This window comes from Homo sapiens, chromosome 9 (genome assembly GCF_000001405.40).
Source record: "Homo sapiens chromosome 9, GRCh38.p14 Primary Assembly".
Classification (NCBI taxonomy): domain Eukaryota; kingdom Metazoa; phylum Chordata; class Mammalia; order Primates; family Hominidae; genus Homo; species Homo sapiens.
The window spans coordinates 101,028,482-101,045,269 of NC_000009.12; the positions used below are offsets into that span (position 1 = coordinate 101,028,482).

The 16,788-nt window shown below is 41.3% G+C and overlaps 1 protein-coding gene across 1 annotated transcript in view; it reads left to right on the forward strand.

Moving 5' to 3' along the window:
* Positions 1-245: 245 nt before the first annotated feature.
* The window catches only part of PLPPR1 (phospholipid phosphatase related 1), a 296,409-nt gene continuing 279,866 nt past the window's right edge, over positions 246-16,788 (forward strand). The window contains exon 1 of the mRNA NM_207299.2: positions 246-621. The gene's annotated coding sequence lies outside the window, so the exon portion shown is untranslated. The remainder of the gene's footprint in view (positions 622-16,788) is intronic.

The window sequence follows — 16,788 nt, forward strand, 5'->3', positions numbered from 1 at the left end:
TGGCTTCCAGCTCTGCATGCGCCGCGGAGTCCCCGCGCAGGGCGCACCTTTGCGGCGGGGTTTCCCCGCTGCCTTCTGGGAACCCCGCGGAGCGACTGCCGCTGGACGCAATCTGGCTGGCTTGCCTCTACCCCGAGCTCACTCTCTCTGCTCTGTCTGGGCTCTGGAGCCAGAGCTGAGTCTCTCTTGAGCATGCGCAGCCCGGCACCCTCCCCGCCTCTCCCCTCCTCCGCCCCCTCCGCGCCAGCCTTTTGCTCTTTCCTTTCATTAAACAAACAGGAGATCCTGAAACCTGGACCCTGTGCAAGCTGCAGCGCCAGGAGGAGGCAGCGGAGGAAGCAGAGCGCGGGATGGGCGCCCAGCGGCATCTGTGATCCCGCGCACCTCCGCCCCACGGGCGCGCGCACAAACACGGACACACACATACACACACTCGCGCACACACTCGCACAAACACACACTCGTACACGCCCGCGCCGCTCGCTCGCCGGCTTGCTCTCCCACGCAAGCGGAATGCAGCAGCGCCTGGAGAGCGTGTCTCGGACCGCCGCCTGAATGTACCTCGCTCCCGGGAGCCGGACGGCCCAGTAGGGCGCACTGGAGGACGCTCCGCTGCGGGAGGTGAGTGCGGCGCCCGCAGCCGGGCCGCTGGGGAAGTCTCTGCACCGGGGCAGTAGGGCAGCGCGGGGCAAGCTCCTGGCCGGACCCGGCGGCGCAGGTGTCCCATGCCTTGCTTGTGGGTGTCGAGGTGCAGATGAAGGCGGCGCTGGGGCTGTGCAGAGGAGAGGACGAACCCAGGGAGGGTCGCCTCCTGCGAGGTGTCAGATTGACCCAGCAGAAAGCTACCACCTCCCTGCTCATAAACTTTCCTTCCATGTCATCTGGGAAACGTGGAGACAAAGGGGGCGTGGAGGCTCCCTCCGTCCCGTTCCACCCTCCTGACTGCATTCCGGGCTGCAACGCGAGCCTGCACGCGTTGGGTGGGTGTGCAGGCGGAGGCGCCCTGCAGGTAGCTGATGCCAAGTCCTCCCACCCGGGCGGGGGTTGAGATTTCTCACCCCAAGCTGTAAGGGTTGCCATTGATTTTCCCTCAGGCATGGGCACCTGTCATCCTTCCCTTCCACCCCTCTGCGTCCTAGGCGCATAGTGGGGTGTGTGTGTCACCTGGAAAATTGGAGGGGCGGCCTTCGGCTTTCTCATCGAGCTCCGGTGCCAAAGGCGCCGGGGTGAGGCTCGGGTCAGTGCGGGGATAAATGATGAGTTACTGACAGGCTTGCCATAATCACCTCCTAGAACGGAGGACGCTAGGATCTCTCCTCCTCAGGGAAGGTGCTGTCTTCACGCACACCATCGCGGCAGCGCTGGGAGCTGAACAGGGGCTGCTGCTGCGGCGGCGGCAGTGGGAAGACGGGGCTTTATCCTCTCCCAACCCATTTCCCAAGGGTTTTATGACACGCACGTGTGGAATATGTGGAGGATTCTGGATTATTATTTTTCTTTGTGGGGATGTCGGGTTTTTTTCCTTTCAACCTCTTTCCTGGGAGAGATTCTGTGGTGTCTGCTATCTAGTTGGTGGACAGGCACGGTTCTGAATATCTCTTCGGCCCGACGGAAAAGGTCCTGAGAAAAGGATTTCCTAAAATCCTTTCTACTACTGGGGCGGGATCTCAGAGTGCAGTGCACCCGCTGCACCCGGGAAAAGCGTCAAATCGAATGGCCTTTTGAAACAGCAGAGACTGGGTCAGCCTGTGAGGAGTCCAGGACTGGGACAAAGGGAGATAGAAGAGGGACAAATAATGGTCACTTAGGAGAGGTGTGACTAGAGGTTAATGAAGGCAGGAAGAGGTTGACTGGAGGGGACGTACACTACAGCCTTCACTGAATTTCTATGCCCCTTCTGCTTGTATGGTTGGCAGCTCCTATTCTTCTGGTGGGACGCTAGTTTTGAGGTGTCTAGAATGTCACATCTGGAGCGTAAAAGACTTCACTATTTCTGGGATAACATTTAGCATACTTACAAATTAGTTGTTTAGGTCTAGAAAGTGCCTCGTGTGAAAGTTTCTCCATCTTGACGTGTTGGTTGTACCTGAAAGGCGGGTTGGGCAGACAGGTACATTTTTGGCTCTTGTGCACGTCAGGAGCCTTGTATTTTTAGGAAAAGTGTATGGGGAATCTGGAAGCCAAGCTGATGCTGAAAGAAGTAAACTCCGGAAGCTCAGATCCAGTACTTATGCCTGCTGCTCCTCACGGGTGGGGGTGAGGGCTTCTCTTCACTTTGAGATGACAGGTTGGGGAGTCTCTCTGCTGCTTGGGATGGGGACCTTTTTATCTTTAACATTTTGTGACTTCTTTGAAGTGGGAGAAAGCATGATATTTGTGAGATTAATTGAGAAATGACTTATGAAAGTGATCTTCACTCATAAGTAAGCATAGCCAAAGGTGAAAAGCTTTTTTAAGAAAGGAAAAAAAGAAGCAGGGGGTGGGGGGGAATTGGGAAAGGGATGCTTATTATTAAAATAGTTTCGCTTTTATGATTTTAAAGGTATTCAGTAAGATAGAAATCTGAGTGTTTTATTTTCAAATAACTAGGGAAGTAAAGACCTTTCCAGGAATATTTTCAAGTGAAATTGGCATAGAGGGGATTTAACTATAATTGTCAGCATATGTCCTTTTTATCCCATGGTGAACACTCTCATCATTTTCTTTGAAAACCTTGGCAAGAAAAGATCAAGAATATTTTTTGCTTTCACTAGAGCTCTTTATTTGCTTTGTTACTATATATTTCCTCTTCCTTCATCTGCAAGATCAGTTTATTTTGATTATACTAGATTCTATTTACAAGGATTTATTGACCACCTATCCTGTATTTAGCATTGGAAGTCATATAAAATATGTAACATAGTTCTGTCCCTCAAAGTGTTTATGTTCTAGTTGTAAATACAAGATGAACACACATGAAATAGAAAGCAGGATGGTTCTGTATTGTACTATGAGCTCTTAACGTGTATGCTGTACACTTCATCCCCTCCTCCTGGATTTTCTCACCATTCAGAAAACATGTATAAGTACTTGTTACATGCTGGAGGCTGGGGAAAAAAAGATAAGAAAGTAAAAAATGGTCCCAATCATCAAGGTAACAGGTATTTAACTATGATGCAATCTGATTAACTGCTGTAATTGTAGGTTAAACCATGTGCCAATAGTACAGGCATGAAAGTGATTTTTTCCTTTCCCTGGAGGATTTGAGCAGGTGATCTTTGAGAAAAATGAATAGTCTTTTACCAGGGAGGAAAGGATAGAAAGGACATTCCAGGCAGAGGAAATACTTGAGAGTGTCTGATAAATTAGGGTGGCAATAAGCCATCTCATGTGGTTAGAGCCATTGAGGGTGAACAGCATCTGGGTGACACCAGTTAACAAGTAATGCTATAGAGTGAGTTTTTTAGAGATATGCTCAGAATGCCATGGAAGCACAAAGGGAGGGCATCCAACTCAAGGAGAGTAAGAAGATCAAGAAGGTTTCTCAGAGAGCTTGACATTAGCTGAGTCTTGAACAAGGACAAGGAGGAAAGAAGGGCTTTCCAGGCAGAAATATCTCTGAAAGGCCTGGAAGTAGTTCTGTGTGGCTGTAGCGACAGATATGGGTTCTTAGCTTTTTGCAGTGGCACAACATCAAGCAAGAGACATAAGCAGCAATCAAGTGTGAATGGAACTATCCAAGCATAAGAACTTCAATTTTATGGGGAAGGCTAGGGGTGTTTGTTTGAAAGTTGAGAAAGTTTGAGACATGATCAGATTTGCATTAGAGAATGATGACTGTGACTACAGTGTGGAGGATGACTTGGAGGTGTTGAGACTGGAGGCAGGGAACTTATTGTGGAAATGTAGGTGTTAAATGATGAGGGTGGTGGCAGTAGGGGTGGACAAGAGGAGATGTATCTGAAAGACAAGTGAAATAAAGCCTGCTAATATAAGAAGGGCCTTCCTTCTTCTGTGTGCTCCTATATCACCCTCTTCTTTCCTGGCATTCACTTGTGTAGCTGCCTTTTTTGCATTGTGAGAGTAAGGCATTCACAGTGGCATCACCAGCATTTAGCACAGGCCTGGTATGGAGTAGGGACCCAATAAATATTTGTTGAATGAATCATTAAATAAATGAATGAGAAATCCAGCCATGAGGTGATGATTCCTGCATTAGAATAGTAGAAGATAAATCATGACTTCCATTTCTCCAACGTGATCAACTGACTTGGAGGTCAGTGTTAAAATGTGCCAAGGAGGCCACAAATCAAAACAAAAAACATATTTTCTCAGCTGCCCCTATGAAGAAGAACTGTACCCTGAAGTGCCACTAAGAAATAGCATCATGACTCTTTTTTATGTTTAAAAAATGAGCTCATCACTGCATCTTGGAAGCAACAGCATTTAGCACAGTTGCTGATACATAGTAGTATGGCAGTGTGTATAAATTCCCTTTTCCCCCTTTCTTGTCAGAATTTCCGGATTTAATATACATTGTGAAAACTTTAAAAATAATCTGCACCAGAGAGTTCATAAGGATCTCACTTAAAGAGCTCATTGCATCTTGGCATCCTGGAATGAGGGCCAGATCATCTGTGTTCCAGCCATCAACACTGCAGACCCAGGAACTAGGTCCCTTACTGAACCAAGCCCAAACATGTTGAATTTCAATCTGAAAATGCCATTAAGAGATGCCAGAATGGGGAAAAAACATAGTCAGAGTTTGTTTTCAAATTGACTACAGGGAGTGCAACAGAAGGCAAATCCAAGATAGCACTTCGGGTTTGACCATTGGTAGCTGGATTGATGGTGACAGAGGGATGGGGAAGGAGGTTAGCTCAGGAAAGTAAAAGGCTTAATGCTGTTTTGCAGAAATTGATTTTGGGGTGACACCAGAACATCTTGGAAAGCATTAGTAGAGATCCCAGCATCTAGTGATTTCATAGTAAATGCCAAGTATTATTTTTATTAGGGAAGAAGATGGGAAGAGAAGGACACCATACAGCCAAAGACTAAATTTCAGCATTTAGCAAAATATAGGGATTAAGGAGAGAAATAAGCCCCAGGAAAGAGCATAGGAAGTGAATACTCAGACAAGAAGGAAAAGAACTGGCATGAAAGCAAAAGCCTCAGGGAACCATGAGGAGTGCTCAGACTTCACAGAAACAGTCCCAACTGTGCCAGGACTTGTTTAAATGCCTCCACGTGGAATCCTATTTAATCTTGACAACACCTATGACTCCTATTCCCACTTTACAGCTGAAGCAGCTGAAACAGAGAGGTCCCAGTAGCTTGTCCATAGCTACCAAGTTACAAAGTATCAGAGTCAGGTCTCAAAGCCCATTTTCATAATTGTACAAGCAATTTCCTTTCATCAAATGTATAAATTACCAGGATGATTTTAAGTGAGGGGAGTTTGAAAAGGTTGAAAGTAGGGAACTGAAAAAGGACAATGAAAAAGAGTTTTCTGGTGACCATTAGGAAAGCAATTTTAGTATAGCAGTGTGCTCAGAAACCATTTCAGAGAGTTCAGTGGGGAATGGGAGGAAAAAAAAAACGTGCAATGCGTAACTATCAGTCACTTATGAAGTCTAGCAGGGGAAAGAGTTATGGGGCTGTAGGTACAGTGAGAAGGTACAGTGAGTCTCAAGTGCATTTTTTATCAAAAGGGAGCAGATGGAACCAGCTAGTGTCTAAGAACAAAGGGTTTGGGAAATGAGAACAGGAGAGGAGAGAGAGAGGAGAAAGGATGCCTTTCTCCAAGAGCATGCAAAGATATATTTGAGGACAGATACAGCAGATGCTCTTCTTCCCCACAACTACATGACTGAAATGAGTCCTCTAAAACTCAGAGAATTCAGATCCTTGAATGTCCTGGAAACTTAAGGAGCCTCTGAGTGCCATACCTCAATGGTACCACTTGGGCATGCAGGCTGATGAGCCTGACTTGTTTATGTAGCACAGCGGTTAAGAGCACAGGCTCTAGAGTTAGGCTGTTAACCTGAATTAATTCTGAATTGATTCAGAATTCTAAATTAAATGAATTCTTAATTCTGGCTCTGCCACTTATAAACTGTGCGACTTTGGGCACACAGTTTACTTCTCTGTGCTTTCAATTACTCCTGCTTTTAAGATGGATCCCATTGCAGAGGTTTGTGAGGATTAACTGAGTTTGTTGTAAAGGTCGGACAGAGTAAGTACCTAATAAATGGAGAGTATTAAGTGTGATAGCAGTGAGGTTAAAAACATAAAGCTTTGACTTTATGCTCAGGACTCAAGAGATGGTGTGCTTTTGCATTCATTAAAAAATTTGGGGGCGGGGGGGTTGGTTATAAATAGTTGGCTTGAATCCTGTCTTCCTAAGTGCAGAAATTAAATCAGCAGACACAAATATGGCAGGCGCAGACCAGCTCGGCTGTCATAAGCCTAGGTAGAGTAGACATGTGCTGGAAGTACCTGCCAATAACACTTGCCTAGTTGCCCACTTCTCACACCTGTCTGGGGAAGATGAAAGTTTGCTTGCGTTTAGCCTAGTCTTTGCACCTTCAGGCTCATAGGCATCAGACAACAGGGACTTAGCTGTTTAGCAGATTGTTTTAGGGAAACGACTACTTGTATTAATTACAGCACCTCTTTGGTACTGAGGGACATAAACTGTAAATATCTCAAATGTGAGATTTACAACATTCCGTAGGAAATTAAATGCCTCCCTTCATGGAAAAATTTGTCATGTGTTCTAAAATAGAATCCCAGTGGATGTGGAAACTCTGTCATCTAGCTATTTGGCAGCAGGGCAGGAACTGCAACCCGGGTTTGACTCATAACTCTGTGTCTTTGCATTATACTCTGGCAAATACTTCTATTACTGTGCTATAATCAAAGACTTTTTACCCCCCATCCATCCTATTAATGTTTCATCCAAACTAAACTTCTTACAGTTACCCCCATGAGATTTTTCTTTTTACCTTCAGGCCTTTCGCCATGCTGTTCCCTCTTTCTGGAATTCCGTCCTTGTCTTCCCCTAACTCCTTTGGGTTTTTAGGTCAGAGTCTCTTTCTAGGGAAGTTGTCCTGACCTCTTAACTCTAAGGTTGGCTTCTCTTTCTATGTGTTTCAGTAGTCCCCAACTCTGTATTTTTTTGTGCCTAACATAGTGCTTGGCATATATAAGCGTTCAGTAAACGTTTTTGATTGAATAACTGAATCAATTACTGAACCAACTTCTCCTTTTGAGTCATTGATGACACTTCAAATAAAGCAACTTCATATTATAGAAAATCATAGGATTGTCCCAAGTTCAAAGATTCGTTAGAAGTTACCTAGTCAGACTTTCAAGTGAAATGACACAAGGAAACTGAGAACTAAGGAACTGCAGCAACTTACCTGAGGCTTTTGCTTACTGTAGTTAAGTGATATCAGAATGGAGGCCAGAATTCTCATATTCTAATTTCAGACCCAGATTCTGCCCAGGGCTGGGGTGAGGGTGGGGTGAGAGAAGCAAACGCAGGATTGGTTCCTGACTTTATTTAAAATTTTGATACTGTGTGTGTTCATCATGGAATGTTGCATTACGATTTTTTTAAATGTTGCATTAAAATATTGTTTACCTTGATTACTGAGTTTTTTGGAATGTCTTAAATTTTGTGCCCAATGCAGGTGCCTCACTCATCTGACCCTAGTCCCAGCCCTGCTCTTTCCACAAAGGATACATCCTAGCTTTCCTATACTGGTGTAAAAATGCAGGAACAGTGTATATGGCAAGGGCCCTGATTGAAAATATTGAAACACCATTCATCATTGTGGTATGAACTGCTAATAAGCATTTCATGACCTGGCTAATCTTCTGGTCAATAAACGTTATATTCACATTGTAAAAGCAAAGCCAAAAGGATAAGAATAAAAGCTCTATCTGCCTGTCATCTCTCTATTTATCTCTTTGTCTTAGGGCTAGAGGAAAATGTAAAGATCATCTAGACTAGTCCTTAATTTGTAAATTTACATGTAGTTATTACTATACTTCCATATTTTTAAGTGTTTTGAAGACCCAAGACCCAAGATAGAAAAGAGAAGAAAACTATTCCATTTATAAACTTGGCTGGTCTTGGCTTATGGCACTGCTGGCCTGTTTTGAAGATTTGAGGTCAGAAGGTAGAATGGCCAAGCTTGGAAGGTAGAATGACAAAGCTTGGCTATTTCTGCCAAAAAAAAAAAAAAAAAAAAGAAGAGGAAGAAGAAGAAAGGAAAGAAGCATGAATGAAAAGGATAAAAAGAAATAGATGAAAGACATTTTCAGTAGGCCTCCTATGTACCATACGAGCTACTACTATGGATTATTAACCTCTACAACACACTGGAAAATAGGTATCAGTATCCCCATTTGACAGCTGAGTAAACCAAGTCTCAGAAAACTGAATTAAGAGCTTACCTAAGCTCTCAAAGCTACCGCTGGACTGAAAACCTGATCTAAGTCCAAAATCTATGCTTATCTTATTTAATCCTTCTGATTCTCAAAGGTGTAGAGTTTCAGATCACCCCATAACCTTCTTGCCACCCACGATGCCATGAAGCTTTAGATGAGAGCTTCAGCAGCTTGTCCATGTTAACTGGATGGGAAGTCAGCAGTCAGCTCCACATCGTGCTGTTATTTCCTCATTATACGGTACATTTATCTTTTTCCATTCATCAATAACAGGGAGAAGAACTGCATACACATAAGAAATAAATCCCCTGCTTGTGTGAATGTTATAAATTTTTACATGACATGATAGTCCATATTGTATATTGCCTCCATTATGTTAGAAAGGGCTTTTTCTCTGGGTATTATGGCATCAAGTGTTCTAGAAATGCTTACAGACACAGGGTGAAGAAAAAGTGATCATATTTACTGGAGCAAATCTGTCACAATGAAGGGTAATGTGTTTGCATGGCTCTCTGTCGAGGGGTTCTGGGGTGCCCTTTTTATTGAGGTTTCTGATGAGTAGCATGGACCTCCCCCACCAACATTTAGATTCAATGAAATACATAATCAAGTGGAATCAGATACAATTAACAAGAATAATATCTGGGTGAGAGCACTGCTGTTCGGCTCAGCAGCTCTGTAAGCCAAGCATGCTTTATCATTTTCCCATCTCCCAGCCTTTGCTAGCTATCGCTTCCAGGCAACCCACACACTCAAATGCTCTAATAATCAGCCCACAGCCTTCCCTCCTGGGGGTCACAGGAACTAAAAAATAGAAAGACCTTTTCATTCACACTTGTATTAACTGGAAAAAACATTATCTGTCTGTATTTTTTTTTTTCTGCTGTAAAAGCAAGGGAATATCTCTAGGTTTGAGACAGTCTTTTGGGTCTAGTTTTTTTTTTTTTTTGCATGGATTGACATGTAATATGTGACACAGACAGTTCCTGGCCAGGCTAGTTTGAAACAATGTATTTTAGCAATTAAAAATGAATTAAGCCAATTATATGTGTACTATGATAAAATACAAAATGTAGATATAATGAGGTGCTTAGTGTAGAAAGTAAATATCACTCATATTTCTGCTCTAACCTCTTTCCCAGAAAACGACTATCAGTTGTTTGGTGTATATTTCTTCAACATTTTTGGTCCATTAACATTTACATTTATTATTTTTATAAAGGTAGGATTAACTTTACATATTATTTTACTATTTACTTTTAGCTATAATTTCAAATAGAAGCAATTTCTTTTCATTAATAAATATTTGGTAAATATTACTCTTATATGAAAAGGATGACTGTTGCTTTCCATCTTAAAATAGAGCTCAGTTGATATATCTTAGGGTCCTTTGGCCATCAGTCCTCATGTATATTCAGTCATTGAACAAATATTTTTTCTGAGCTCATTTGAAGAGCTACCTACTGTACTATGTACTTTGGAAACATTCACATTCTAGCAAGAGAAAAAAATAACGAGAGGACTTAATAAATGGCAAAAGCTGTAAATTCTCCTTGATTCACAGAATTGCTTGAAGGGCTAATCTAATTTTTAAATTGTCTAATTTTTCTAGATAAGAAAATTAGGGTCCATCAAGGTTAAGTGATTTGTCCAGGGTTCCACAACTGGTGATTGAAGAGGCTGGGATAACAGGCAGTTTCCAGCCTGTTAAACCAGTGCTGATTTCATTACACTTGACTGCAAATCAACCCCCACATCAAGAAGAGGGAACAAGGGAACTCCACAAATACTAGCTTGAGCAACGGATTTCTGGCGCATTGAAATTCATGCCTTATGTAACTGCTGTTAACCCACAAATGGCTGCAGAGATTGCGTGCCCATCCTCCCGCCCATCCCTGCCCATATAACCCCTCACTGCACTCTATCTTCTCCTTCTCCATGGCCTGATATTCTCACAATAGAATAACACTTCGAAGTTAGACAACAATCAGCTGTAATATTGAGATCAGGTGGTGCCCATGTTACCTAGGGAGAGTGTTCATCTGTAAACATATTGGTAGAGATTTATTTTTCAGTTTAGCTTCTTGCCATCTTGAACCTTAAGGAATGAATTCCAAGATAAATGAATTTTACCTGCTAATTTTAATCAAGTCATGAAATCTTTGTTGTACTAACCAATGATTTTTCTCCATGATAGTAGCATAAATAGAACTCTGATTCTTAAATACTCTAATTATCCTTCCCTGCTCTGAAAGCAGGATCATGTGGTGGTTAAGAGCTTGGACTAGAGCGTCAGATGGAGCTAGGTTCTAGGCTGAGCTCTGCCATCCACTAGCTTTGTGATGTTATTCCAATTCCTTACTCTTATGAAGTCTCAGATCTTTTATCTGTGATATGGAGATAATAAAAGTACCCCTCCCACAGTGATGTTTTTATGAGATAAATAAATTACTTGCCTGAACACAGAGTCCACAACATGACCAATGAAACTGTAGCTGCCATTATCATTCATTATTTTTGATATACCCATGATATACAGCTATAAGGGCTATATCACTTGACATAGTGCTTAGAACCATTTAGATGTCAAGCTTTAAAATACTGAATAACACTCTTCTTACCTTCTGTATTAGTCCATTTTCACACTGCCGATAAAGACATACCTGAGACTGGGCAATTTACAAAGGAAAGAGGTTTAATGGAGAACTCACAGTTCCACGTGGCTGGGGAAGCCTCACAATCATGGCAGAAGGCAAGGAGGAGCAAGTCACATCTTACGTGGATGGTGGCAGGAAAAGAGAGCTTATACAGGGAAACTCCTGTTTTTTTAAAACCATCAGATCTCGTGAGACTCATTAACTATCGTGAGAACAGCACAGGAAAAATCCACCCCATAATTTAGTCACCTCCCACCGGGCTCCTCCCATGACACATGGGAATTGTGGGAATTACAATTCAAGAAGGGATTTTTGTGGGGACACGGCCAAACCGTATTGCCTCCTAAAAAAAAAAAAAAAAAATAGAGACTTAAACCAGAAGTTGAAAATATGACTCAATATGCTAATAATTTGAAAACTTTTCAGAATATCATCTTTAGTCATTGCTGATCCATGAACTGTAGAATTCAGAACATAGCAAGAGGTGGGAAAATGAAAGCATTTGATCAATACATCAAAACTTTGCTATAAAAATTAAACTTCAGCCCTCTTTGTCTGCATGATTTTATTTTCATGCAAATACTTGGGAATTGGTGATAATGTCTACCTTTCTCAAGCATAAAGATAACACTATTATCACTATTAGTTAAATATGTTTTTTCAAGTCTCATTTGCCTTAGTTATACTGGTAGGTCACCTGGATGTAGACACATATATATGCTTGCACAGAATCATGGAACTGAGGTGTGAATGTTAAGAATCCCAGCCACTTACTCAGTGCTGGAATCTCTTTTTTCATACTATGTCACAAGAAACTGTCCAGCCTCTCCTTTTTGGCATCAGGGCTCCATTTCTTCCCCTTCTTGGTGACTATAATGGATATACCCAAGATAGAATCTGATTGGGTGTGAGCTGTGGTTGACCAGGATCCTGAGAGTTGTTCATCAAACATCCCAAACATACTTTCATCTCAGGGTCTTTGCGTTTGCTGTTAGCTCAGTCTGGAATGCCTGTTCTGCAAAAACTTGAATGTCTCCCTTTCCCACCACCACATCTGCTCAAGTGTCATCAGACAGGCCTTCCCTCATAACTGTCTAAAACACTCAGCCCATTAATCTTTAACTCTTTACTCTGATTTGCATTTCTGCATTAGTACTGATAAATGCCTTATTATTCATATGTCTGTTTACTTGTTTATTTGTGACCGGCCTCCTTCTACTATGTAAGCATCATAAGATGAGGGACTCTGTATATTTTGTCCATTGTTATACCTCCAAGACCTAGAAGAGTACCTGTCACACTCTATAAATTTAATTAAAATGTATTTAATAAATGAACAAAAGAAAAAAAAATATCGTCTTGAGAATGGATTTAAGACACCGGTGGCAATCACTAGGTCTGAAACGCAGGAGAGCAAGAGAACATCTAAAATGTGACGTTAGCTCCAGAGGCCCAGAATGGGGGAGATCTGTGAACGCATAGTGGAAAATGGTCCCCAATGTAGGGGCTTGGTCCCATAGGACAGCTCTTAATGAGGCAGAGGTGTCTCAACCTGGGTTTCGAGTACATGGATCTCTGGTAGTTGGGGCATATGCCAGAGAGCTTACTTATGCCATGAGTCTATTTCACTGTGGGACCTTCCAACATTAAAGCTTTCTTCTTGATGGAGCTGAATTCTGCCTCCCTCTAGCTAGTTAATGGAAGATGGCCAGGTAAAGCGGTGCAATTCATATGGAAGAAGATGAAATTAAGTGGTACCCATAGAAATACAACTCCATTTTATATTAATATAAAGACTCATTTGTCTACAACAAAATAAGCAAATGCGACACAGATTAAGGAATCAAGGTGAGAAAATACCTTTGGTGAACTAAAAATATTTAGGACATATACCTTCTTATTTCTATATATGAACTGTTATTGAGGAAACACAAATTTCTATGGGAAATCTAGCTATCTTGGGATCTTTAAGTGTGAATGTACCTCTGGCTACTAGGTTTGGTTCTGGGTGAAATGCTGACAGATGTTCTTATGTGGTTTATTGTGGTCTGTGTGGTCTAGGGGACAGCAGCCAGAGGCAGCTCTGTGGAGGACTTTGGGGCCATAAAGAAGCTTTGGACTACTTGAAGTTGTGCCTGGAGTCCCTCCTGGGGAAGCTGTGTAAGGAGTGGCAGTGTTGCCTGAAAAACATAAGTCTGAGTCTCCGTCTCTGTGGATTTCCTTGGAGAGCAATTATTGAATGTTTTATGGTTCTCTTGCTTTGAACAGAAGTTTTCACTCACTTAAATGCCAACTACATGGAAGAATGTACTAAACCAATTGAAAAGAAATGTAAAATTCTTGGAAAGTTTAACCATGTTAAAAGAGAATATGATGGCCTAGACTCTTAAAAGATGTTAGCTTTTATGAGCGTCATCAGGGAAGGTAAGTCTGGAGGCAGGTGGTGGAAAGCTAAACACATATAGAGAAAATATAATTTATAGAAGAAGAACAGAGAGAAGAGAAATTTAATCATTCAGCACTGGGTAAATGGATTGCCTGACATTACAACAAGTTTAAAGTCACTAGAGGATAAATCAGAATTTATCAGATAATTTGTAGCTTTTTCAATAGAGCATTTGGAGGAGAGAACTCCACATAGCTTCTTTCATCAAAGGGTAAGCCTTCATCCAAGAGTGAAATCTTTTCCCTCTCTCACAAACTCTCCACTCACCTGTAAGTTTTTGTTCCTTCAGGTGTTTTCTTGAATTCAAGATTCTTTGTTGTGGATCCAAGGGGACAGTTGCTGAGATGAGGGTTTCTTTTTCCTCTTGTTCATTCAGAAAGCATTTACTGATCACCCTAGGGACACTTCTTTTGTCTAGGAATTTGCCTGGCCTACCAGATCTTCTGTAGCCAAGAGACTTTCTGCTAGATTCCCCCTCATGCCACATTGGACACCATCCTGATAATAATGATGGGTTACCTGCCAAGGTAGATTCACCTTTCAAAGAGACCTGCTACTGAACATCTAGAACCACAGCAAGAGACTTGAGAACTTTTCTTTTTCTTCAAAAAAAATTCTGGATTATTTCTCAATTTGAGTTTAAGGAATTCCTATAACTTAAGTGATTATACTTTTGACCAAAAGAAAGTTTAATGAAATTATAATTCCCAGGGTAATATTCTGTAAATGAGAATGATTTAAACATTTTTAAAATGGGAATTAAAAATAATTGTTTGATTATTATAGGAGATGAAGACACATACTTATCAGTCACTTCATATGGAATTCACCCAGGATAATTTCTCCTCTGACTTTTCCCTAATCTTCTGCCCCTTTTCTCCAGAGCTGCTTTCCCTTTGCATTTTTTTCCATAGGTTTTTGGGGAACAGGTGGTATTTGGTTACATGAATAAGTTCTTTAGTGATGACTTTGGTTTGCCCATCACCGGAGCAGTTACACAGAACCCAATTGGTAACCTTTTATCTCTCACCCCCTTCCCACCCTTTCCCCCTGAGTCCCCAAAGTCCATTGTATCATTCTTATGCCTTTCCTTCCTCATAGTTTAGCTCCCACTTATGAGTGAGAACATACGATGTTTGTTTTTCCATTCCTGAGTAACTTTACTTACTATAATAGTCTCCAGTCCCATCTAGGTTGCTGCAAATGCTGTTATTTCATTCCTTTTTATGGCTGAGTAGTATTCCATCATATATATATGTGTGTGTGTGTATATATGTATGTATATATGTGTATATACACACGTGTATATATACACACATATACATGTGTATGTGTATGTATATACATATGTATATACGTATATACATACACATATATACATATGTATGTGTGTATATATACATATGTATATATGTATATGCATACACATATATACATATGTATGTGTATATACATATACACATACATATATACATACATACATCAATATATCAGTCACAGTTTCTTTATCCACTCGTTGACTGATGGGTATTTCGGCTGTTTCTACATTTTTGCAATTGCGAATTTCGCTGCTATAAACATGTTTGTGCAAGTATCTTTTTTGTATAATGACTTATTTTCCTCTGGGTAGATACCCAGTAGTGGGATTGCTGGATCAAATGGTAGTTCTACTTTTAGTTCTTTAAGGAATCTCCCCCACTGTTTTCCATAGTGGTTGTACTAGTTTACATTCCCACCAGCAGTGTAGAAGTGTTCCCTTTTCACCGCATGCACCCCAACATCTATTTTTTTCTTTATTATTTTTTGATAATGGCCATTCTTGAGGGAGTAAGGTGGTATCATATTGTGGTTTTAATTTGCATCTCCCTAATCATTAGTCATGTTGAGTACTTTTTCATGTTTTTGGCCATCTTCTAGACATTGGCTTAGGCAAAGATTTCATGACCAAGAACCCAAAAGCAAATGCAACAAAAACAAAGATAAATAGGTGAGACTTAATTAAACTAAAGAGCTTTTGCATGGCAAAAGGAATAGTCAGCAGAGTAAACAGACAACCCACAGAGTGGGAGAAAATCTTCACAATCCATACATCCGTCAAAGGACTAATATCCAGAATCTACAAGGAACGCAAACAAATTAGCAAGAAAAACAAACAAACAAACAAACAATACCATCAAAAAATAGGCTAAGGAAATGAATAGACAGTTCTTCCTTTGCATTTGTATTTGTCTGCTCTCTTGCGTATTTTGGGCAGCCCTTGCTGCTGACTCCTACTGCTTGATCCCCACACTCTCCCCTAGACAACTTTGCAGTTCATACACGACTCCCTGAAAGAGAACACAGAAAACATTTGGAAGTGGTGGAGTGTGCTGTAAAGAGTGTGAGATTTCTGTCAAAAGTTCTGATTGTAAGCCTTACTTCTGGCTTATTCACTGTGCAGCTGAGAATTTTCTTAACCCCTCTGAGATTTCATTGCTTCATTTGTAAAATGAAGACAAGGGTAACTCAAAGAGAATTGTTTTGAGATAAAGTATTGGAGGGTAAATTTTAAAATTCTGCACAAGTACTCATTAATACGTTGTTTCTAATTTAGCACCATCATTTTATAGAAAATGAAAGGAGATGAAGTAACTCTTCCAGCAATGTGAAACTCAAATTTTTACTGTTCATTTTTCAATTGAAAACCAAAGCATATAGTATGAATCAGATGGAAATGCATGTGCTGGCTGAGGATATAAATCACCCTAGGATCAGATGTGTTTCTCTTTGATGTGTCTAGGAAGTGTTTTATGGTAAACTTGAGTACACGTGTGGCATTCATACAGGGAATCTCTTTACCTAATTTGCCCAAAATTACTTACTTAAGGGTATTAGGTGTTATGCTTACTATGTTCCCTTCTTAATTTGAGGACTATCTGAGATTACCCAGAGGAGTTAAGAAGATTCTCAGCCTTGATTTTAAAACTGTAGATGGGTGTAGAAGGGGGCTGCTTACAAAAGATGAAAATGGAAAGGGTCAAGGGAGCAGGGGTCTGAGCTGATCCAAAAGGAATCAGCTATTTCAAGACTACCTAGATTAGAAGCACCAAGGTCTTGCCAGACATAGCTGTGTGGTTTGAAAGCACCAAACTCAGTGCCAAAAGAAGGGTCTCAATGCCCTCGACCTCTGTAGAGCTGGGAGTGGGAGCAGCTAAAACCATTTTGACCCGAATCACTAGGAAAATTCAACTGGATGAATAGTCTAGA